The following is a 21,783-nucleotide window of genomic DNA, read 5'->3' on the forward strand; positions in this document are numbered from 1 at the left end:
AGACACCCCCAGTGAATGCCTGAGACCACAAATAGTACCGAATCACCCACTGGTTTTTCCTACACATACATAACCATGATAATATTTAATGTATAAATTAGGCACAGTAAGAAATGAACAATAAAATAAAAAATTATACTGTAATAAAAGTTACTTGAATGTGGTCTCTTGAAATATATTGCACGGTTCTCACCCTTTTTTTTGGGGGGGGGGGGACGGAGTCTCGCTGTCGCCCAGGCTGGAGTGCAATGCTGTGATCTCGGCTCGCTGCAAGCTCTGCCTCCTGGGTTCACACCATTCTGCTGCCTCAGCCTCTGGAGTAGCTGGGACTACAGGCACCCGCCACAAAGCCTGGCTAATTTTTTTTTTTTTTATTTCTTTAGTAGAGATGGGGTTTCACCGTGTTAGCCAGGATGGTCTTGATCTCCTGACGTCGTGATCTGCCCGCCTCGGCCTCCCAAAGTGCTGGGATTACAGGTGTGAGCCACTGCACCCGGCTGGTTCTCACCCTTTTTCTTGTTATGATATGAAGTGATACAATGCCCGTGTAATGAGATGAACTGAGGTGAATGACGTGATCCTAGATAGTCAGGCCTTGATGTTGGCGGCAGGGTACAGGAGGAGACCGTGTTGATGACTAACGGGTGGACAGCATGTGCAGTGTAGGTGCACTGCAGGACGATTCACATCCTGGGCTGGATAGAGGGTGCTGACGGTTTCACTGTGCTTCTCGGAATGGCACACTAAAACTTATGACCTCTTTATTTCTGGAGTTTTCCGTGTATATTTTTGGAATACAGTTGACTATTAGTAACTGTAACCACAGAAATCAAAACTGCAGATGTAAAATCTCTGGATCTTAACTCATTTGTTGGGTACAATTCTTAAAATCCTTAGGATTTCCAAAGTGATGTTTTTTTGTATGCTAATGATCGATGGCTGGAAGCCCCTAGGTAGCTTCAGGATGGGAACTGGTCACCATCCTGAAGACATGATTGATTAGAGTGTTGAGATCTTCTGTCTCATTCAGGAGACTCTGGAGAGGAGAGAAGAGCTGAAGGTTGTCAGTCACCAAAGGCCAGTGATGCCAATATAATGAAGCTTTCATCAAGACCCAAAGTGACTGGGCTTGGAGAGCTTCCAGATGGCTGAATGCATGGAGGCTCCTACAGGGTGGTGTGTCCTGGGAGGGCATGGAATCTCTGTGCCACCTCCCCCATACTTTGCACTATGCATCTCTTCATCTGTATCTTTTGTAATGTCATTCATAGAAAACTGGTAAATGTGTTTCCCTGAGTACTTTGAGCCACTCTAGCAATTCAATTTAACCCAAAGAGGGAGTCCTGGGAACCCCAATTTGAAGACAGTTGGCCAGAAGTTCTGGAGTTTCAGACCTACGACTGATGTAGGGAGGCAGTTTCATGGGACTGAGCCCTTTACCTGTGCAATCTGATGCTATCTGCAGATAGAGTGTGAGAATTGACTTAAGAGGATGCCCAGTTTGTGTCATCTGCAGAAATGATTGCTTACTTGTTGGTGGAGAAAAACCCTCCCCACGTTTTGTCACAGGAGACTTCTTTGTTGATGATTGTTGCTGTGACGTGACAGCAGAGAAAAACAGGTCAAATGTGTCTTTTCCACACATACAGTGGACAAGGGGTACTACTGTATACTCTGTTTGAACTGCCCGTCATGTTTTGGTCCTGAAATCATGCTCTTTGACACTGTTCATTCATCACACCTGTTCTGCTAACAATACCATTTTTAGTCAATCTCATAGGGTTTGGCTAGGATAACTTGTATACTGCGGTTCACTTGTAGATATCAAATTTTATAAATTTATTCTTCTTTGCATTTAATAAATACAAAGTAAGGGAAGTAAGAGTTCTTACTGCATTAATTATCTACTAATAGGTATAATTAATATTAATTCTAATAAGGTCCCGGTTATGCTCCCAAAGGAATGCTTTATAACAAAGCATCAGTCCTATGCTTTAAAAAAAGAAAAGAAAAGAAAAGAAAAGAAAAAAACATGGTCTGAAGTCTGCACACAAGTGTGCATAACTTTTTTGTGAAGGTAGAGTCTTGCTGTTTCCCAAGCTGGCCTCAAACTTCTGGGTTCCTCAAGTGATCCTCCTGCCTCAGCCTCCCAAGTAGTTGGGAATACAGGCATGTATCACTGTGCCTTCTTATGCTTTTAATATTCTATACAATTATTATTGATTTATAATGCAGTATACCTTTTTCTTTAATAGATTCTGGGAGTTCTGATGAATATGCAGTCAGGTAGGATTTTACAGATTTAAAAAATTATGTTAACTAAGGAAATATAGATGGAAGAGATTCATATCTGTTGAGTGTTGTATTCTGGGCTAAACCCCTATTGTGTGCTATGCATTTATCATCCCATAAAGCCATCGCAACATCTGTGTTCTTATAACCTACTGTTTATTACATAGGCGACTGTGGTTTAGAGGTTGATTAATTGGCTCATGATCCTGTAGTTAACAAAGTAGCCGACCCACAGTTAAACCATCAGCCTGTCTGGCTTCCAGATCCCTTATCTTGCTCCTCAGCATAGATTGATAGAAATCTGTGCAGCACTTGGATCAAGGTACACGTCTGAATCAGATTAATTTAGACAGTCAAATCTAGTTGTATGTTAACTCTCATTTAAGGTTATTGTTAGAAATGTGGTTAGTCCAAGAGTTTCTCCTCATAAATTTGACAGTTTCAGTGGTAGCCAATATCTTATTTTACTATCAGAGGCTTTAGGGCAAGGTAAAGGTTTGGCCATAGGATTATAATTTTACAAAAGCAAGATTAGACAAGTCTCAGAAATTATTTGACTTCCCAGTTTGGTTTTCCCTTTAGGCTAGTACTTCTGCTTAATTCCATAATACTTTTTTTAAGACTTTTTCCTTTTTCCATGACATTTCTATAATCCTGTCTTGATGTTGTAAAACTTTCTTCTCTGCTTTTCTTGGTCTTTCGTTATATTATTTTTTCAAAATCTGCTGACTATGTATTCCCAGTTTTCTTATAGACAGAATCAAAAGCACATAGAATTACAGAATTTTAAGGAATCATAGGACAAATTAAAATAACCTCTAGTACTTTAACCTGTGTTAAACATTCTGGTCAAGTGTTTCTCTAGATAGAGAACGTGAGACTCAAAGAGATTAGGATAGTTTTTTTATATATAGGAAGTGGCAGAAAGGAGATTTCAACTCATTTTAAAGCTCAGTACTTGTCTTTTTTTTTTTTTTTATCCTATTGGCATGTTTTTCTGTTTGTTTTTTGTTTTATTTTGTTTTTTTGAGACAGTCTCTCTCTGCTGCCCAGGCTGGAGTGCAGTGGCACAGTCTTGGCTCAATGCAACCTCTGCCGCCCGAGTTCAAGCGATTCTCCTGCCTCAGCCTCCTGAGTAGCTGGGATTACATGCACTTGCCACTACACCCGGGTAGTATTTGTATTTTAAGTAGAGGTGGGGTTTCAGCATCTTGGCCACGCTGGCCTTGAACTTCAGACCTCGATCCACTCGTCTCCACCACCCAAAGTGCTGAGATCACAGGCAAGAGCCACGACGCCCGGTTTGGCATGTGTTTTAATAATACAAAGTAGGGCGGGGCACAGTGGCTCACAACTGTGGGTCCTCATTTGCATGAGCTAAGTTTTTCATAGCAATCAAAAGCAAAGCAAGCCCAGGTGTTCGCCATTCTCCTTAATGGCATCAAGCCCAGGGTTTGAGAGCCATTTTCATTGGCCCCAGATGACCTGTTCATACCTGTCTTCATTGTGCCCAGCTCGGGGCTTCAAAGCTGGCTTCATCCAGGCCTGCAAAGGTGTTCACAGTGGTCCTCATCTAAGCCAGCCAAGGTGTTCTCTTACCATCCACACGATAGCCAGCCCAGATGTCCCTAGCCGTCCTCATCGAGGCCAGCCAGTTTGTTCACACTCGTGCTTATTGGGGCCAGCCACCTTCATAGAGGTCATCTCAGGTATTTACAGGCATCCTCACTGGGCCCAGCCCATGTGTCCACAGCTGTCCTCAGTGGGCATAGCCCGGGTGTTCATAGTTTTCCTCACTGGACTTAATCCAGGTGTTCTGAGCAATTCACATGGTCCCAGGCCAGGTGTTGACAGGTGTCCTCAATGGGGATGGCCCAGATGTTCACCGTTGTCTTAATTAGGCCAAGTGCAGATGCCCATAGCTGCCTCACAGGGCTCAGCCAAAAGGAACAAGGCTGTTCTCCTGAGCCCACATCACGTATTTATAGCTTTCCACATTGGGGTCAGCCCAGGTGTTGGTAGCCATGCATTCTGGGCCAATCCGTTATTCCAAGCTGTTTCCTTGGGCCCAGCCCAGGTGTCCACAGCCATCCTCATTGGTCCAGCACAGGTGTTCAGAGCTATCCTCCTTGGCCCCAGGCCAGATGTTGACACTCGATCTGACTGGGCCCAGACCGGGTATGCAAAGCTGTCTTAACTGGGAGCAGCCCATGCTTTCACAGCGGTCTTCACTGGTGTCAGCCAGGTTTCTCAGAACTGTCACTTGGCCGAACCTTGGTGTACATTGCCATCCCCATGGAGCACAGCTCAGGTATCCATAGCCATCCTCACTGGGGCCAGCTGAGGTGTTCCCAGCCATCCTCATTTGTCTCAGTGCAGGGGTTCACAGCTGTCCTCACTGGCTGAGCCTAGTTGTTCCTTGCAATCATTACTTGAGCAAGACCAGGTGTTCATGGCTGTTCTAATTGGGGGCGAGCCCAGGAGTTAATGGTGCTCCTCATCTGGGCCAGCCCAGGTATTCACAGCCATCCTCATCATGATCAGTTTCAGTGTTCAAAGCTGTCCTCCTGAGGCCAGCCTGGTTGTTCGCTGCTGCTTTTACTGGGCCCAGCCCAGGTTTTCCCAGCTTCCCTCACTGGGGCTAGCGCAGGTGTTCACAGCTTTCCTCATTGGGCCCAGGCCATGGGTTCATAGCCATCTTCATCAGGCAAAGCCAAGGTGTTCACAGCCATTTTTTCCGGGTCCAGCCGAAGTCGCCCTCACTTGGGCCCAGCCCAGGCGTTAATAGTCATCATCAGTGGGATTAGCCCAGTTGTTCACAGCATCTTTCTAGGGCTGAGTTTAGGTGTCAAGAGCCATTCATCTTGGGCCCAGCCAGCTGTTCATAGGCATCCTCATGGGGACAGGCCCAAGTGCTCACAGTGGCTCTCACTGAAACCAGGGCAGGTGTTTTTGGCTGTCTTCATTGGGCCCAGCCTAGACATTCATAGCTGTGCTCAAGGCGACCAGCCACGATGTTAACAGCTGTCTTCAGGGCAATCGTCCCCGGTGCCACAGCTGTCCTTATTGGCTTAGCCCAAGTGTTCTCAGCTGTTCTCGTTGGACCCAGGCCAGGTGTTCACAGCTGTCCTCACTGGCCCAGCCCAGGTTTCCATAGCCACCCTCACTGGGTCCAGCTCAGGGCTTCACAGCTGTTTACTCTGGGCCGAGTCCAAACACTCCAAGCTGTCCTTAGAGGGCCCAGCCAAGGCGTTCACAGCTATCCTCATTGGTAGCTAGCCCAGGTGTTAGTCCTTGTCCTCAGTGGGCCAGACCAGTGTTCACAGACATCCTTATTGGGCCAGCCCAGGAGTTCCATGCTGACCTCGCTGGGCCCTGCCTAGCCCTTCATAGCTGTCCTCACTGGGCCCAGGCCAGGTGTTTGCAGCCATCCCCATCAAGGTCAGCCCAGGGGTTCACAGCCTTCCTTGTTTGTATGAACTCAGTTTATTATAGCAACAGTTTTTGATGGCTGTCAATATCAAGGCAAGCCCAGGAGTTCACGCTACCCCTCAGTAACATCAAGCCCAGGGTTAAGAGCCATTTTCACTGGCCCCAGGCCACCTGTTCATAGCTGTCTTCATTGTTTCCAGCCCAGGGCTTCCCAGCTGTCTTCATCCAGGCCTGCGCCGGTGTTCACAGTGGTCCTCATCTAAGCCAGCCAAGAAGATCTCTGTCATCCACGTGACAGCCAGCCCAGATGTCCCTAGCCGTCCTCATCAAGGCCAGCCAGTTTGCTTACACGTGTGCTAATTGGAGCCAGCCACCCTCATAGAGGCCATCCCAGGTACCGACAGCCATCCACACTGAGCCCAGCCCAGGTGTCCACACCTGTCCCCATTGAGCCTAGCCCTGGTGTTCATGGCTTTTGTCACAGGACTTCTCCCAGTTGTTTCCAGCAGTTTCCATGGTCCCAGGCCAGGGTTTCACAGACATCCTCAATGGGGACAGCCCAGCTGTTCACCATTGTCTTAATTAGGCCCAGTGCAGATGTTCACACGTGTCTTCCTTTGGCTCAGCCAAAATGAACAGAACTCCTGAGCGCATACCAGCGGTTTCTAGCTGTCCACATTGGGGCCAGCCCAGGTGTTCGTAGCCCTACGTTCTGGGCCCATCCCAGTTATTCCAAGCTGTCCTCTTGGGCCTAGCCCAGGTGTCCACAGCCATCCTCCTTGGTCCCGGCACAGGTGTTCACAGCTATCCTCCTTGGCCCCAGGCCACATGTTCACATGCCATCTCACTGGGCCCAGAGCAGCTATGGAAATTTTTGCTCTTGAAGTTGAGGTCTGTTTTAATTGAGGTTTCTGAGGTTGTATAGCAGTGTGCAGATGCAGGGGACTTGTGCCCCAGCACTGGGCTGCCTGGCTGTGCCCTGGGCTTGTGTGACCTTCAGTCTGTGCTGGGCTGGAATCTGCTCTAGAGGTTTCCAGATTTCTTTTTACCCTCCACCCCAACAGACCCTCAGGCCTTTTTGTGCTCACTTCCCAAGCTCCCCCTGGACTCTGCTCCAGAGTCCATGTCAGCCCCGCCTGGGACCTTGACTGCCACATCACCCACATTGCTCCTCTCAGCCTGTGATGACGATATATCCAGACCCCTTTCTGCCCCAGAGCTGCAGTGGGTCTCAGAGGAGCCCAGCTTTACCCCACAGTCTACCCTGGGAAGGTGGAGACACATCTGATACTGACACTGCAGGGGGTGCCCCATATGGCAGCTGCTCCACCAGGGCTGCCCTGACCCGTCCCCAGCTGTAAGTCCCATGTCACTGGTGTGCACAGGCACTCACCTCTTTAACTTTGTCACGTCCACATTCTTAAGTGTTTGGTGGCACCAGGACCTGGCAGGTCTGAGGGAAGGACCCCTCGAAGCTCAGTTAGTTCTCTATGTCCAGCAAGGATGAGTGTGAGGCCCCGAGCATCGAGCATCGGGAAAACCACGTCAGGTGTTCCTCCCAAGTAGGTGCCCATTGCAGTGCCTGCCCCTGCCAGAGGGCACTGCCTGAGCTAAATCCCCCGTCTCACCTTCCCAGACCTTCACCTGGTTTCAGGGCTCCTCAGCCACCCACATATCGCTGAAATGTCAAAGAGCTTGTGAGGAAGCTTCTGGGGCACCTGCCTTCTAGAGGAGGCTGAGGGCAGCTGCGGATGGTTATTTATGGGGATGTTTTTGGCCTGGGCCACAAGCAGGTGGGTAAGTGGCACAGGGATGGCAGCTTAAGGTGCCCCGGCTTCTCTGCGTGGCTGTCACTGAGCAGAGGAGTCCGGGCCTGCCAGCAGGTTCCATCCTAGCTTATTCTCTGTGTGTCCTCAGTTGGGGTACCTACCCGGTCTCTGCCTCAGTTTCCTCCTCTGTGAGACAGTGATCCTAACAGGCCCTACCTCTGACAGTGGTTTTGATGAAGTACGCGATGTGGGTGAAGCACCTGGAGCTGGCCCACTCACAAAGAACGCGCCACGGACTCTCAAGGTTAATGTTGAAAAGGGGCTGGGGTGGGGCAAAAGTGGGCAGGCCATTTCAGCTCCAGGTGCCTGGGCTGACAGATTGGATTAAATTAGCATGTGCATTGCTGAGTGCACAGGGGACAGTTGCCCAGGCCAGAGGCATCAGGGTCAAAGCTGGTGATGCCTTGGCCTCATCACCCCAGGCTAGGGCCAGTGCATGATGTAGTCAGCCAGGGGAGGGCTCTGGAGCCCTGCAGCCGAGGGGGCCTGGTGACCCTCACAAGGTCATTCACAGGCCACTAGGATGGCCTGCCCTTTTCCGGCCAGGCCTCACTCTAGGAAAAAAAAAAAATTGATTGTAACCTCGTTGGCAGTTTCCTTTGCATAGAAGTGGGAATTCGCTGCTAGCGAGGCTGGTGATGAACTCCGCAAAAGCTGGGAAATCTCGTTTGAGCAGGAGCGCCCATTATCTTGGCCAAGCTGCTGCAGCTGGGCTGAGCGGGTGTGGAAGTGTGGGTGGTAGTCGTGTAAGTTCTCCAGCCAAGCCCAAGTTCCTCTGCAGACCTGTGCATGACGGCATATCCAGATGATTCCAACCTCCTGCTGTGGATTCAGTCCCGCTCCATAAGACTTCTCTGCAGTCCCCAGACATCAACAAGGAGCAATAAGCTATCTTTTCTGTGTCTTACCTGAATTCTTGTCCCTGTGAAGCATTAGCAAATTGAAATGTTTGTTTTCTACCAGCATTTGGGGGTATTAGTTTTTTTTATTTAAAAATAATCACAGTAAAGACATCAGGAATAACACACTTGTAGGACATTCACGAGGTACAGAAGAATGCACACCAAAATCTGGACTTGTCTTTTCCTCTTCTGTAGCCTGCCAGCTTCTGCCTCTGGAAGTAACAACTGTTAAGTTTCTGCACATCTTTCCAGATTTATTAATTGAACAATCATACAGCACTGACACCGTGACAAAGCTTTGTCAAAGGACTTTGGCTACCAGTGTAAAAGACTCATTTATTTTCATTTACTGTGAACACTTAGGTGGCACCAGGAAGGAAAGCCTTATGTTCATTCCTTTTTATTCTTCCTAACATATTCTGTTTTTAAAAATGTCTTTTCTAGGGGCTGGGCACAGTGGCTCACGCCTGTAATACCAACACTTTTGGAGGCCGAGGCAGGTGGATCACTTGGTCAAGAGATCGACACCATCCTGGATAACACGGTGAAACCCTGTCTCTACTAAAAATACAAAAAATTAGCTGGGCACAGTGGCGGGCGCCTGTAGTCCCAGCTACTCGGGAGGCTGAGGCAGGAGAATGGCGTGAACCTGGGAGGCAGAGGTTGCAGTGAGCCGAGATCGTGCCGCTGCACTCCAGCCTGGGTGACAGAGCGAGACTCCATCTCAAGAAAAAAAAAAAAAAAAAAGTATTTCCCAATTTGGCATTAAGAGATATAAATCTGTGGTCTAGTATTTTTTAATTGAGTTTTCTCACTCTCTCTCATATATGTGTATATATATATGTGCACACCTGCCCAATTTTCTATTCAGTTGTTGACAATTAAAATTCTCCATTTACACAGGTAATATGTGTTCCTTCCCAAATTCTGTTAACCACCCCTTCAATTAGATAATTCCTGAAAAAAATTGCAACATCTATGTTAATGCAGTTTTTTTTGTTTTTTTTTTATTTTTTACTTTTTGTTTATTATACTATAAGTTTTAGGGTACATGTGCACAACGTGCAGTTTTGTTACATATGTATACATGTGCCATGTTGGTGTGCTGCACCCATTAACTTGTCATTTAACATTAAGTATATCTCCTAATGCTATCCCTCCCCCCACCCCCCACCCCACAACAGGCCCCGGTGTGTGATGTTCCCCTTCCTGTGTGCATGTGTTCTCATTGTTCAATTACCACCTATGAGTGAGAACATGTGGTATTTGGTTTTTTGTCCTTGCTATAGTTTGCTGAGAATGATGGTTTCCAGCTTCATCCATGTCCCTACAAAGGACATGAACTCATCATTTTTTATGGCTGCATAGTATTCCATGGTGTATATGTGCCACATTTTCTTAATCCAGTCTATCATTGTTGGACATTTGGGTTGGTTCCAAGTCTTTGCTATTGTGAATAGTGCCACAATAAACATACGTGTGCATGTCTTTATAGCAACATGACTTATAATCCTCTGGGTATATACTCAGTAATGGGATGGCTGGGTCAAATGGTATTTCTAGTTCTAGATCCCTGAGGAATCGCCACTCTCTCTTCCACAATGGTTGAACTAGTTTACAGTCCCACCAACAGTGTAAAAGTGTTCCTATTTCTCCACATCCTCTCCAGCACCTGTCGTTTCCTGACTTTTTAAAGATCACCATTCTAACTGGTGTGAGATGGTATGTCATTGTGGTTTTGATTTGCATTTCTCTGATGGCCAGTGATGATGAGCATTTTTTCATGTGTCTGTTGGCTGCATAAATGTCTTCTTTTGAGAAGTGTCTCTTTGTATCCTTTGCCCACTTCTTAATGGGGTTGTTTTTTTCTTGTAAATTTGTTTGAGTTCTTTGTAGATTCTGGATATTAGCCCTTTATCAGATGAGTAGATTGCAAAAATTTTTCTCCCATTCTGTAGGTTGCCTGTTCACTCTGATGGTAGTTTCTTTTCTGTGCAGAAGCTCTTTAGTTTAATTAGATCCCATTTGTTAATTTTGGCTTTCGTTGTCATTGCTTTTGGTGTTTTAGACATGAAGTCCTTGCCCATGCCTATGTTCTGAATGGTATTGCCTAGGTTTTCTTCTAGGGTTTTTATGGTTTAAGTCTAACATTTAAGTCTTTAATCCATCTTGAATTAATTTTTGTAAAAGGTGTAAGGAAGGGATCTAGTTTCAGCTTTCTACATGTGGCTAGCCAGTTTTCCCAGCACCATTTATTATATAGGGAATCCTTTCCCCATTTCTTGTTTTTGTCAGGTTTGTCAAAGATCAGATAGTTGTAGATATGTGGCATTATTTCTGAGGGCTCTGTTCTGTTCCATTGGTCTATATCTCTGTTTTGGTACCAGTACCATGCTGTTTTGGTTACTGTAGCCTTGTAGTATAGTTTGAAGTCAGGTAGCATGATGCCTCCAGCTTTGTTCTTTTGGCTTAGGATTGACTTGGCAATGCGGGCTCTTTTTTGGTTCCATATGAACTTTAAAGTAGTTTTTTCCAATTCAGTAAAGAAATTCATTGGTAGCTTGATGGGGATGGCATTGAATCTATAAATTACCTTGGGCAGTATGGCCATTTTCACAATATTGATTCTTTCTACCCATGAGCATGGAATGTTCTTCCATTTGTTTGTATCCTCTTTTATTTCATTGAGCAGTGGTTTGTAGTTCTCCTTGAAGAGACCCTTCACATCCCTTGGAAGTTGGATTCCTAGGTATTTTATTCCCTTTGAAGCAATTGTGAATGGGAGTTCACTCATGATTTGGCTCTCTGTTTGTCTGTTATTGGTGTATAAGAATGCTTGTGATTTTTGTACATTGATTTCGTATCCTGAGACTTTGCTGAAGTTGCTTATCAGCTTAAGGAGGTTTTGGGCTGAGACGATGGGGTTTTCTAGATATACAATCATGTCATTTGCAAACGGGGACAATTTGACTTCCTCTTTTCCTAATTGAATACCCTTTATTTCCTTCTGCCTGATTGCCCTGGCCAGAACTTCCAACACTATGTTGAAGAGGAGTGGTGAGAGAGGGCATCCCTGTCTTGTGCCAGTTTTCAAAGGGAATGCTTCCAGTTTTTGCCCATTCAGTATGATATTGGCTGTGGGTTTGTCATACATAGCTCTTATTATTTTGAGATACGTCCCATCAATAACTAATTTATTGAGAGTTTTTAGCATGAAGGGCTGTTGAATTTTGTCAAAGGCCTTTTCTGCATCTATTGAGATAATCATGTGGTTTTTGTCTTTGGTTCTGTTTATATGCTGGATTACATTTATTGATTTGCATATGTTGAACCAGTCTTGCATCCCAGGGATGAAGCCCACTTGATCATGTTGGATAAGCTTTTTGATGTGCTGCTGGATTCGGTTTGCCAGTATTTTATTGAGGATTTTTGCATCAATGTTCATCAGGGATATCGGTCTAAAATTCTCTTTTTTGTTGTGTCTCTGCCAGGCTTTGGTATCAGGATGATGCTGGCCTCAGAAAATGAATTAGGGAGGATTCTCTCTTTTTCTATTGATTGGAATAGTTTCAGAAGGAATGGTACCAGCTCCTCCTTGTACCTCTGGTAGAATTCGGCTGTGAATCCATCTGGTCCTGGACTTTTTTTGGTTGGTAAGCTATTAATTATTGCCTGAATTTCAGAGCCTGTTATTGGTCTTTTCAGAGATTCAACTTCCTCCTGGTTTAGTCTTGGGAAGGTGTATGTGTCGAGGAATTTATCCATTTCTTCTAGTTTTTCTAGTTTATTTGTGTAGAGGTGTTTATAGTATTCTCTGACGGTCATTTGTATTTCTGTGGGATCGGTGGTGATCTCCCCTTTATCATTTTTTATTGCCTCTATTTGATTCTTCTCTCTTTTCTTGTTAGTCTTGCTAGCAGTCTATCAATTTTGTTGATCTTTTCAAAAAACCAGCTCCTGGATTCATTGATTTTTTGAAGGGCTTTTTGTGTCTCTGTTTCCTTCAGTTCTGCTCTGATCTTAGTTATTTCTTGCTTCTGCTAGCTTTTGAATGTGTTTCCTCTTGCTTCTGTAGTTCTTTTAATTGTGATGTTAGGGTGTTAATTTTAGATCTTTCCTGCTTTCTCTTGTGGGCATTTAGTGCTATAAATTTCCCTCTAACACACTGCTTTAAATGTGTCCCAGAGATTCTGGTATGTTGTGTCTTTGTTCTCGTTGGTTTCAAAGAAGATCTTTATTTCTGCCTTCATTTTGTTATGTAGCCAGTAGTCATTCAGGAGCAGGTTGTTCAGTTTCCATGTAGTTGAGTGGTTTTGAGTGAGTTTCTTAATCCTGAGTTCTAGTTTGATTGCACTGTGGTCTGAGAGACAGTTTGTTATAACTTCTGTTCTTTTACATTTGCTGAGGAGTGCTTTACTTCCAACTATGTGGTCAGTTTTGGAATAAGTGCGATGTGGTGCTGAGAAGAACGTATATTCTGTTGATTTGGGGTGGAGAGTTCTGTAGATGTCTATTAGGTCTGCTTGGTGCAGAGCTGAGTTCAATTCCTGGATATCCTTGTTAACTTTCTGTCTCGTGGATCTGTCTAATGTTGACAGTGGGGTGTTACAGTCTCCCATTATTATTGTGTGGGAGTCTAAGTCTCTTTGTAGGTCTCTAAGGACTTGCTTTATGAATCTGGGGGCTCCTGTATTGGGTGCATATATATTTAGGATAGTTAGCTGTTCTTGTTGAATTGATCCCTTTACCATTATGTAATGGCCTTCTTTGTCTATTTTGATCTTTGTTGGTTTAAAGTCTGTTTTATCAGAGATTAGGATTGCAACCCCTGCCTTTTTTTATTTTCCATTTGCTTGGTAGATCTTCCTCCATCCCTTTATTCTGAGCCTATGTGTGTCTCTGCACGTGAGATGGGTTTCCTGAATATAGCACACTGATGGGTCTTGACTCTTTATCCAATTTGCCAGTCTGTGTCTTTTAATTGGAGCATTTAGCCCATTTACATTTAAGGTTAATATTGTTATGTGTGAATTTGATCCTGTCGTTATGATGTTAGCTGGTTATTTTGCTCGTTAGTTGACGCAGTTTCTTCCTAGCCTTGATGGTCTTTACAATTTGGCATGGTTTTGCAGTGGCTGGTACCGGTTGTTCCTTTCCATGTTTAGTGCTTCCTTCAGGAGCTCTTGTAGGGCAGGCCTGGTGGTGACAAAATCTCTCAGCATTTGCTTGTCTGTAAAGGATTTTATTTCTCCTTCACTTATGAAGCTTAGTTTGGCTGGATATGAAATTCTGGGTTGAAAATTCTTTTCTTTAAGAATGTTGAATATTGGCCCCCACTCTCTTCTGGCTTGTAGAGTTTATGCCGAGAGATCAGCTGTTAGTCTGATGGGCTTCCCTTTGTGGGTAACCTGACCTTTCTCTCTGGCTGCCCTTAACATTTTTTCCTTCATTTCAGCTTTGGTGAATCTGACAATTATGTGTCTTGGAGTTGCTCTTCTCGAGGAGTATCTTTGTGGCATTCTCTGTATTTCCTGAATTTGAATGTTGGCCTGCCTTGCTAGATTGGGGAAGTTCTCCTGGATAATATCCTGCAGAGTGTTTTCCAACTTGGTTCCATTCTCCCCGTCACTTTCAGGTACACCAATCAGACATAGATTTGGTCTTTTCACATAGTCCCATATTTCTTGGAGGCTTTGTTTGTTTCTTTTTATTCTTTTTTCTCTAAACTTCTCTTCTCGCTTCATTTCATTCATTTGATCTTCCATCACTGATACCCTTTCTTCCAGTTGATCGAATTGGCTACTGAGGCTTGTGCATTTGTCACATAGTTCTCATGCCATGGTTTTCAGCTCCATCAGGTCATTTAAGGACTTCTCTGCATTGGTTATTCTAGTTAGCCATTCATTTAATCTTTTTTCAAGGTTTTTAACTTCTTTGCCATTGGTTTGAACTTCCTCCTTTAGCTCGGAGAAGTTTGATCATCTGAATCCTTCTTCTCTACTCGTCAAAGTCATCCTCCATCCAGCTTTGTCCTGTTACTGGTGAGGAGCTGCGTTCCTTTGGAGGAGGAGAGGCACTCTGATTTTTAGAATTTTGAGTTTTTCTGCTCTGTTTTTCCCCATCTTTGTGGTTTTATCTACCCTTGGTCTTTGATGATGGTGACATACAGATGGGGTTTTGGTGTGGATGTCCTTTCTCTGTTTGTTAGTTATCCTTCTAACAGCCAGGACCCTCAGCTGCAGGTCTGTTGGAGTTTGCTGGAGGTCCACTCCAGACCTTGTTTGCCTGGGTGTCAGCAGTGGAGGCTGCAGAACAGCGAATATTGAGGAACAGCAAATGATGCTGCCTGATTGTTCCTCTGGAAGTTTTGTCTCAGAGGAGTAGCTGGCCATGTGAGGTGTCAGTCTGCCCCTACTGGGTGGTGCCTCCCAGTTAGGCTACTCGGGGGTCAGGGACCCACTTGAGGAGGCAGTCTGTCCGTTCTCAGATCTCAAACTGTGTGCTGGGAGAACCACTACTCTCTTCAAAGCTGTCAGACAGGGACATTTAAGTCTGCAGAGGTTTCTGCTGCCTTTTGTTTGGCTATGCCCTGCCCCCAGAGGTGGAGTCTACAGAGGCAGGCAGGCCTCCTTGAGCTGCGGTGGGCTCCACCCAGTTAGAGCTTCCCAGCCACTTTGTTTACCTACTCAAGCCTGGGCAATGGCGGGCGCCCCTACCCCAGCCTCGCTGCAGCCTTGCAGTTTGATCTCAGACTGCTGTGCTAGCAATGAGCGAGGCTCCATGGGCGTAGGACCCTCCGAGCCAGGTGCAGGATATAATCTCCTGGTGTGCCGTTGGCTAAGACCATTGGAAAAGCGCAGTATTAGGGTGGGAGTGACCTGATTTTCCAGGTGCTGTCTGTCATCCCTTTCCTTGGCTAGGGGAGGGAATTCCCTGACCCTTTGCACTTCCCGGGTGAGGCAATGCCTTGCCCTGCTTCGGCTCACACTCAGTGCGCTGCACCCACTGTCCTGCACCCACTGTCCTACAATCCCCAATGAGATGAACCTGGTACCTCAGTTGGAAATGCAGAAATCATTCGTATTCTGCATCGCTCATGCTGGGAGCTGCAGACTGGAGTTGTTCCTATTCGGCCATCTTGGCTCCACCCCCTATTAATGCAGTTTTTGTGCCTCATTAATGACCCATTTGATTTAATAGTTCTTAAAACTTGTGATGAATCAACAGTGATGGAAAGTTGTACTGAATCATATCTTTTTTTATTACTATGAATTATATTGTTAGAGATTGGCTTTAAAATTGAAGTTACACTAATGCATTTTAAATGTAATTTGGAGCTAGTTTAGAATTGTTGAAGCTAGGACTCTCTGGTGACTCAGGAATAGTAGAAATTGGTGGGGAAGGCATTTCACATCAAGCCTGGAATCTCCCTTTATTCTCAATGTATTAGCTTTTCTTATCTTTACCCTGAAATTTTCACTATCAAATATATTTGAGAGGCAAATCTTTTTCCTCCTTTAATGTTTGTTTCATACACATAGAATAATACTGTGTGTCTGAGATTCAGTTTTTGAAATGAAACATGGAGTCTAAGTGACCCCTTGTCGATGTGACAATGGACTGGTCTAGATCACAGCAGTTGGGCCCCATATTGTGACATGGATGCTTGCGAAAATTCTACTGTGACCTGTTGCTGAGGTGATCTGATGATATAGGTCTTGCCTTTCATTTTAACTGCCATTCTGGCAACTGAACGTTGGCAGTAAACGCAGCTTAGTTGTCTCAGAGGACTCACAATGGGATGTGCTTATAGTTGTTGCCTCGAAGGTATGTATGTTCATTTCCATCTTCTGACTGCAATTTCTTCAGATAAGCCAGTTTTCCTGTACGTTAAATGTCATTCTGATTTTTTTTTATTTCCCCAGCTCCTATTTGTCTACAGATTTATAAATATGTTTCAGAGTTTTATTACTCAATTTGTGTTTTTTTATTCTTCTATCAAGATTTTTGCCTCAAATACTTTTCTCTAGAAAATACACTGCTTCCAATGCCAATTTTTTTTTTTTTTTTTTTTTTTTTGGAAGAGTCTTGCTCTGTTGCCTAGGCTAGAATGCAGTGGTGTGATAATGGCTCACAGCAACCTCCACCTCCCAGGTTTAAGCAATTCTCCTGCCTCAGCCTCCTGAGTAGCTGGGATTACAGGCATCCGCCACCACGCCTGGCTAATTTTCGTATGTTTAGTAGAGACAGGGTTTTACAATGTTGGCAAGGGAGGTCTTGAACTTCTGACCTCCTGATCCACCTTCCTTGGCCTCCCAAAGTGATGGGATTATAGGCATGAGCCACAGAGCCTGGACTTTTCTTTTCTTTTTTTTTTTTGGCAGAGTCTCATTCTGTCACCCAGGCTGGAGTGCAGTGGCACAATCTCAGCTCTTTGCAACCTCTGCATCCCAGGTTCAAGCGATTCTCCTGCCTCAGCCTCCCAAGTAGCTGGGACTACGGGTGCCTGCCACCATGCCTGGCTAATTTTTGTATTTTTAGTAGAGACAGGGTTTCACCATATTGACCAGGCTGGTCTTGAACTCCTGACCTTGTGATCTGCCCACCTTGGCCTCCCAAAGTGCTGGGATACAGGTGTGAGCCACCACACCCGGCCTCCCCCGCCACACACACTCTTTCATAGACTAGATACAGAATAAACTGCTGAAAAATCCACTGGGGGGCCACATTTTCAGTTAATTCCCATTAATTGCTTCTTCAGAATGGTTCAGTTGAAGGGAAGTTTATTCTTGGCACAGCCATCAAGTGGTAGTTAGTTTGGAAGGTCCTAAGTTCCGAACTACCTTGGGGGCCAAGCAGAACTTGGTCCCTTGCTGTGGTCAGTTGGTCATGGAGGGGTGCTCACTGCCAGACAGCTGACAATACAGGGCAATGGGTAGGATGACCAGACATTTGAATTTGTTCCTCAGAGAGGCTTCGTTTGCAGGAAAGTGCCATATTTTAGCCCAGGAGTTAAAACCTAGAGACAGGAGTTTTGTTTTGTTAAATGATTTGGCTTTTTTCTGGACTCACCACCTCTTCCAAATACATCAACCTTCCTGAAGAGCCCTTGGTGCAGGAGGATTGAGAAAGGGAGTGGAAAGAGCTCCAGGTTCAGGGTCCAGGCCATGATTTAGAGGCCTCAGGTATTCAGGGATCTCTGTCCCCAGAAAACCAGCCAAATTCTTGTCCCAGATCTATCATTCGTCAGTGTTGTGACCCTAGGCAGGTCGCTTCAAATCTCTTCATTTCACTTCCCTGAACCGTCACCTCTGAGTGGCAGCCCCTGCTCTGCCCATCTCTCTGGGCCTATGTGGGCATCACAGGAAATTCAAACAAAAACTTTTCACGAGTTCTAAAGCATGAGACCCATGTCAAGAATGAAAAGAATTTTAGCCTCCACTGCCCTGGAGTCCCCCAAGTGGCTTCTCTATTAACCACTACCAAGGGCCTGGCTTATTCTTCCAGACATGAAATAATTGAACACTTTATGGCACTTAGGAAGCACCCGTTTTAAGGCTTTAGGTCCATTTAACTATTCTTACCCTTTTAACATAACGTAGGCCATTAGGAGGCACAGAGGGATCTATAGAACTTCCTCAGGTTCTAGCAGCTTCTCAGAAGTCCCTGAGCTCAGATCCTATGCTCCGGACCCTATGCTCTTGGTCACTCCAATCTACTACCTTTCTGTAATGTCTCATCTCAATACAGGCATTTGCCTGCACACTTATACGTGCAACCCACAGTGCAAGTCTTTCTGAAGCCCAACTCAGATTCAGGGGGCTTTGCTCTGCAGATGATGAACAATGGAATCAAACATTTAAGCTGTGAATAAATAATTACTCATTTCTCTGATCTTTTGCGGCAAGACACCAACACCTGTCTTTATTTTAATTCATTTCCCAGTGTGTTGTGGCGAGGATGAAATAGTGTATCCTAGGATGCCAGGGGAATCCACCGTCTGCCACCGCGAGCGTGAGAAGCCAATCACCTATCACTGGTATCACTGGCATCCCGGCCATATATACCCTAGAGTTGCATCAATGGAAGGTGTTGTGGAAATTCAGTCATTCAGTTCATTCATGATATGATTTCTAGATTCTTCAGTGTCTCATATTTCAGACAATTATAAAATTGCGATGCTATATTCTTTATTTCATGTGTGCATATTTAAATGTGTTAAGTCAATCACTAGTGCTACAACCAGAGGAGTAAAGGTGTATTTCCATTCCAGATTTGGGTTTACTTTTAATAGTAAATAACATCTCAGTGCAAATTGTAGACATTTTGCTGATTGTTAAAACATTAATTAAAAAGGATCTTTTTCTGAGACAGTGTTGCCAGGTTTGTAAAGTAATGGACATCACTTCAAACTGTTTGGAAGTAACCGAAAAATGGAGGAAGTGGCAACAAAACTTTCCATATACCCACCTTCCTCAGTATTTTTTGGTGATCCCATCTTTGTGAGTGTGATAACGCTCGTAACAATGACTGAGCCAATAGTGATACATTCTTATGAACAGAAGTCCAAGGTTAGCATCAGTGACTGAGCCAATAGTGATACATTCTTATGAACAGAAATCTAGGGTTAGCATCAAGGTTCACTCTGTGTTGTCCAGCCTATGGGTTTTGACAAACTGACAATGTCTTTTGTCACCCTGACGGAATAATTTCACATCCTACACATGACCTGAGCTGCATCTACTAATTCCTCTCCTTTTCTGAGGATTCCTGACAACTATGGATGATTTTACTGCCTCTATAGGTTTCCTTTTCCAGAATTGTATAGAGTTGGAATCATAGAGTATGTAGCTACGTATAACTAACTTATTTTACTTAGCAATATACATGTAAGATCTTTTGTATCGTTTTGAAGCTTAACAGCTTAATAATTCTTATCAGTGAACAATAGTCCATTGGTTTCATCGAACAGGGTTAGTTGGTTCACTCACTGCCTGAAGACCATCTGAGCTGCTTCCAATTTGGGTAATTATGAATAAAGCTGCCCACATTCTTGTGCAGATTTTAAGATGAACATAATTTTCTAATTTAGCTGGGTAAATATGTAGAATTTTGATCACTTGCTGGTAAGACTATGTTTTCCATTGTGTTAGGCAGAATTCACCAGTACAATTATGTGGGCATTTTTTTTTAAGTTATTACTTCCTGATTAAATTCTATAATGATAGAGGCCTACTCAGATTATCTATCTCTCCTTTGGGTGGTTATGGTAGTTTCTCCCTTTGAAGGCATTTGTCCATTTCATCTAAGCTAGGAAATTTGTGGGTGTAGACACTTGAATCTGACAAGTTGCCTGCTTGGTTCTCATCAAAGGCTACTGTGCTTCCTGTCATTCCTACTCTCAAACTTTTCAATAGACTTTCACTCCTGCACTTAAAAAATTGCAGGCATAGATTTGTTGAAAGTATTCTGTTATTATTTTCTTAATGATTATGGGATCAGCAAGGATAATTCCTCTTCTATTCATATTGTTTGTACATCGTGTCTTCTGTATTTTCTTTGTGATTAGCCTTGCTGGAGGTTTACCAATTCTATTGATCTTTTCTAAGAAGCAGCTTTTGGTTTTGTTGAGTTTCTTTATTTTATTATTTCTATTACATTGATTTCTGCAAATATTGTTATATTTTGGGGGAGGAGTGTTGCCTGGTTTACATTACACTACACTTTTTTCTCTAGTTTCCTAAGGTGGAAAGTAAGACATCTGGATTTGGATTACATTTAGTTTACTGCACAGAATTGTGAATGGCACTGATGCCCCTGAAGTGTGCACTTGATTATTAAAATAATAAATATGATGTATTTTGGCCACAATACTGATTTTAAAGCCAATTAAATGGATGATAAGTACAGGAGGAGCATATGTAGATCAAGGAAAGATAAATGACATTATAACATTTCAACAACAAAAGAAATTTACCGGGCCTCAAAATGCACAAGGGGGTGATGGGACACTGTCATGAAATCAGCAGTGCATTTGTGTGCCACCCTGTGTGAACTCTGCCTTTTTTGCAGTGGTGTGGGGGCTTAGCCAGAGAACCAGGTCCTGACTTCTGTGGCTTCCTGATGGTCTCATTTGCCTTCCCTCATCACCCAGGAGGGTGTCCCAGTGGCAGCCAAGTTTCTACCCTTAACCCACCTCCTTTACACATGCCAGCCCCCTGTCCTTAGCATCCAAGGTTGCCTAAGGGATTCCTTCAGTGGAACCAACATGATGACAGTTACTCTGTGTTTCCTAGATTACGATGAGGACCTGGTGCAGGAAGCTTCATCTGAAGATGTCCTGGGCGTTCATATGGTAAGTTCTTCTTTATGTTTCTGAGATGGAAATTTTGTTGCTCTTGGTTCTTTTTTATTTTATTTGAATTGAGATATGAAAATCTTACCATGTACATTATAGATGACTTACAGAATATTTTGGTGGGAAAATGTGAGGGTCATTACCAGGTAAGAAATGATCTCAGATGGCATTCTTAGATGACACCTTCAGTTATGAACTGTATGGCAGAAAGAATTTTTGTTAGGGGAAAAGCTTTCTTCTTACAACATTGTGACTATACAACCAAAACAATCTTGAAAGTCTTGCATAAAAATCTTGTGCCTTTCCAGAAGTGTCTTCGAGGCTTTAGGACCATTGCCTCAACCACTGTCTCCCATCTGCTTTTCTAATGTCACCAAGTAAAGAAAAGACTTGTATGGTGAAACCCCATCTCTACTAAAAATACAAAAATTAGCTGGGCATGCTGACCGGCTACTGTAATCTCAGCTACTGGGGAGGCTAAGGGAGCAGGATCGCTTGAGGCCAGGAGGCGGATGTTGCAGTGAGCCATGATCATAACACTGTACTCCAGCCTGGGTGACAGAGCGAAATTCCAGCAAAGAAAGGGAGAGAGGAAGGGAGAGAGGGAGTAGGGGAGAGAGAGAGAGAGAGAGAGAGAGGCAGGAAGGAAGGAAGAAGGGAAGGGAAGAAGGAAGAGAAAGAAGGAAGGGAAAGAAAGAAGGAAGGAAAGAGAAAAAGAGAAAGAAAGAAAAAGAAAGAAAAGAAAGGAAAGAAAGAAGGAAGGGAGGGAGGGAAAAGGAAAACCTGTGCACACAGGACACAGCATGGTCTGACCCTTGTAGTGTTTTGTTTTTCTCTAAATGCAGGTGGACAAAGACACAGAGAGAGACAGTACGTATTCTGGAATCACCCCTATGCTGAGGAAAAATTCTAGTGTTGACAAAGGTGACACTTTCTTGCCTCATTTTTTCTGGAGAGCCACTCTGGTTTG

At 44.3% G+C, this 21,783-nt stretch overlaps 1 pseudogene across 1 annotated transcript in view, besides 1 other annotated feature; it reads left to right on the forward strand.

The window, feature by feature from the left end:
- FAM153B (family with sequence similarity 153 member B) overlaps positions 1–21,783 on the forward strand; it is a 64,088-nt pseudogene that overhangs the window by 5,657 nt on the left and 36,648 nt on the right. Inside the window, exons 2-3 of the transcript NR_169299.1 lie at positions 20,752–20,810; positions 21,659–21,683. The product of NR_169299.1 is annotated as a family with sequence similarity 153 member B (transcript). The remainder of the gene's footprint in view (positions 1–20,751; positions 20,811–21,658; positions 21,684–21,783) is intronic.
- Positions 3,852–6,841: a non allelic homologous recombination region, noted in NCBI's record as "PLCR-B recombination region, recombines with the DLCR-2B recombination region". NCBI's record gives the evidence for it as "EXISTENCE:nucleotide sequencing assay evidence [ECO:0000219][PMID:15580547, PMID:15640245]".

Source organism: Homo sapiens, chromosome 5, assembly GCF_000001405.40.
Source record: "Homo sapiens chromosome 5, GRCh38.p14 Primary Assembly".
NCBI classification, from domain to species: domain Eukaryota; kingdom Metazoa; phylum Chordata; class Mammalia; order Primates; family Hominidae; genus Homo; species Homo sapiens.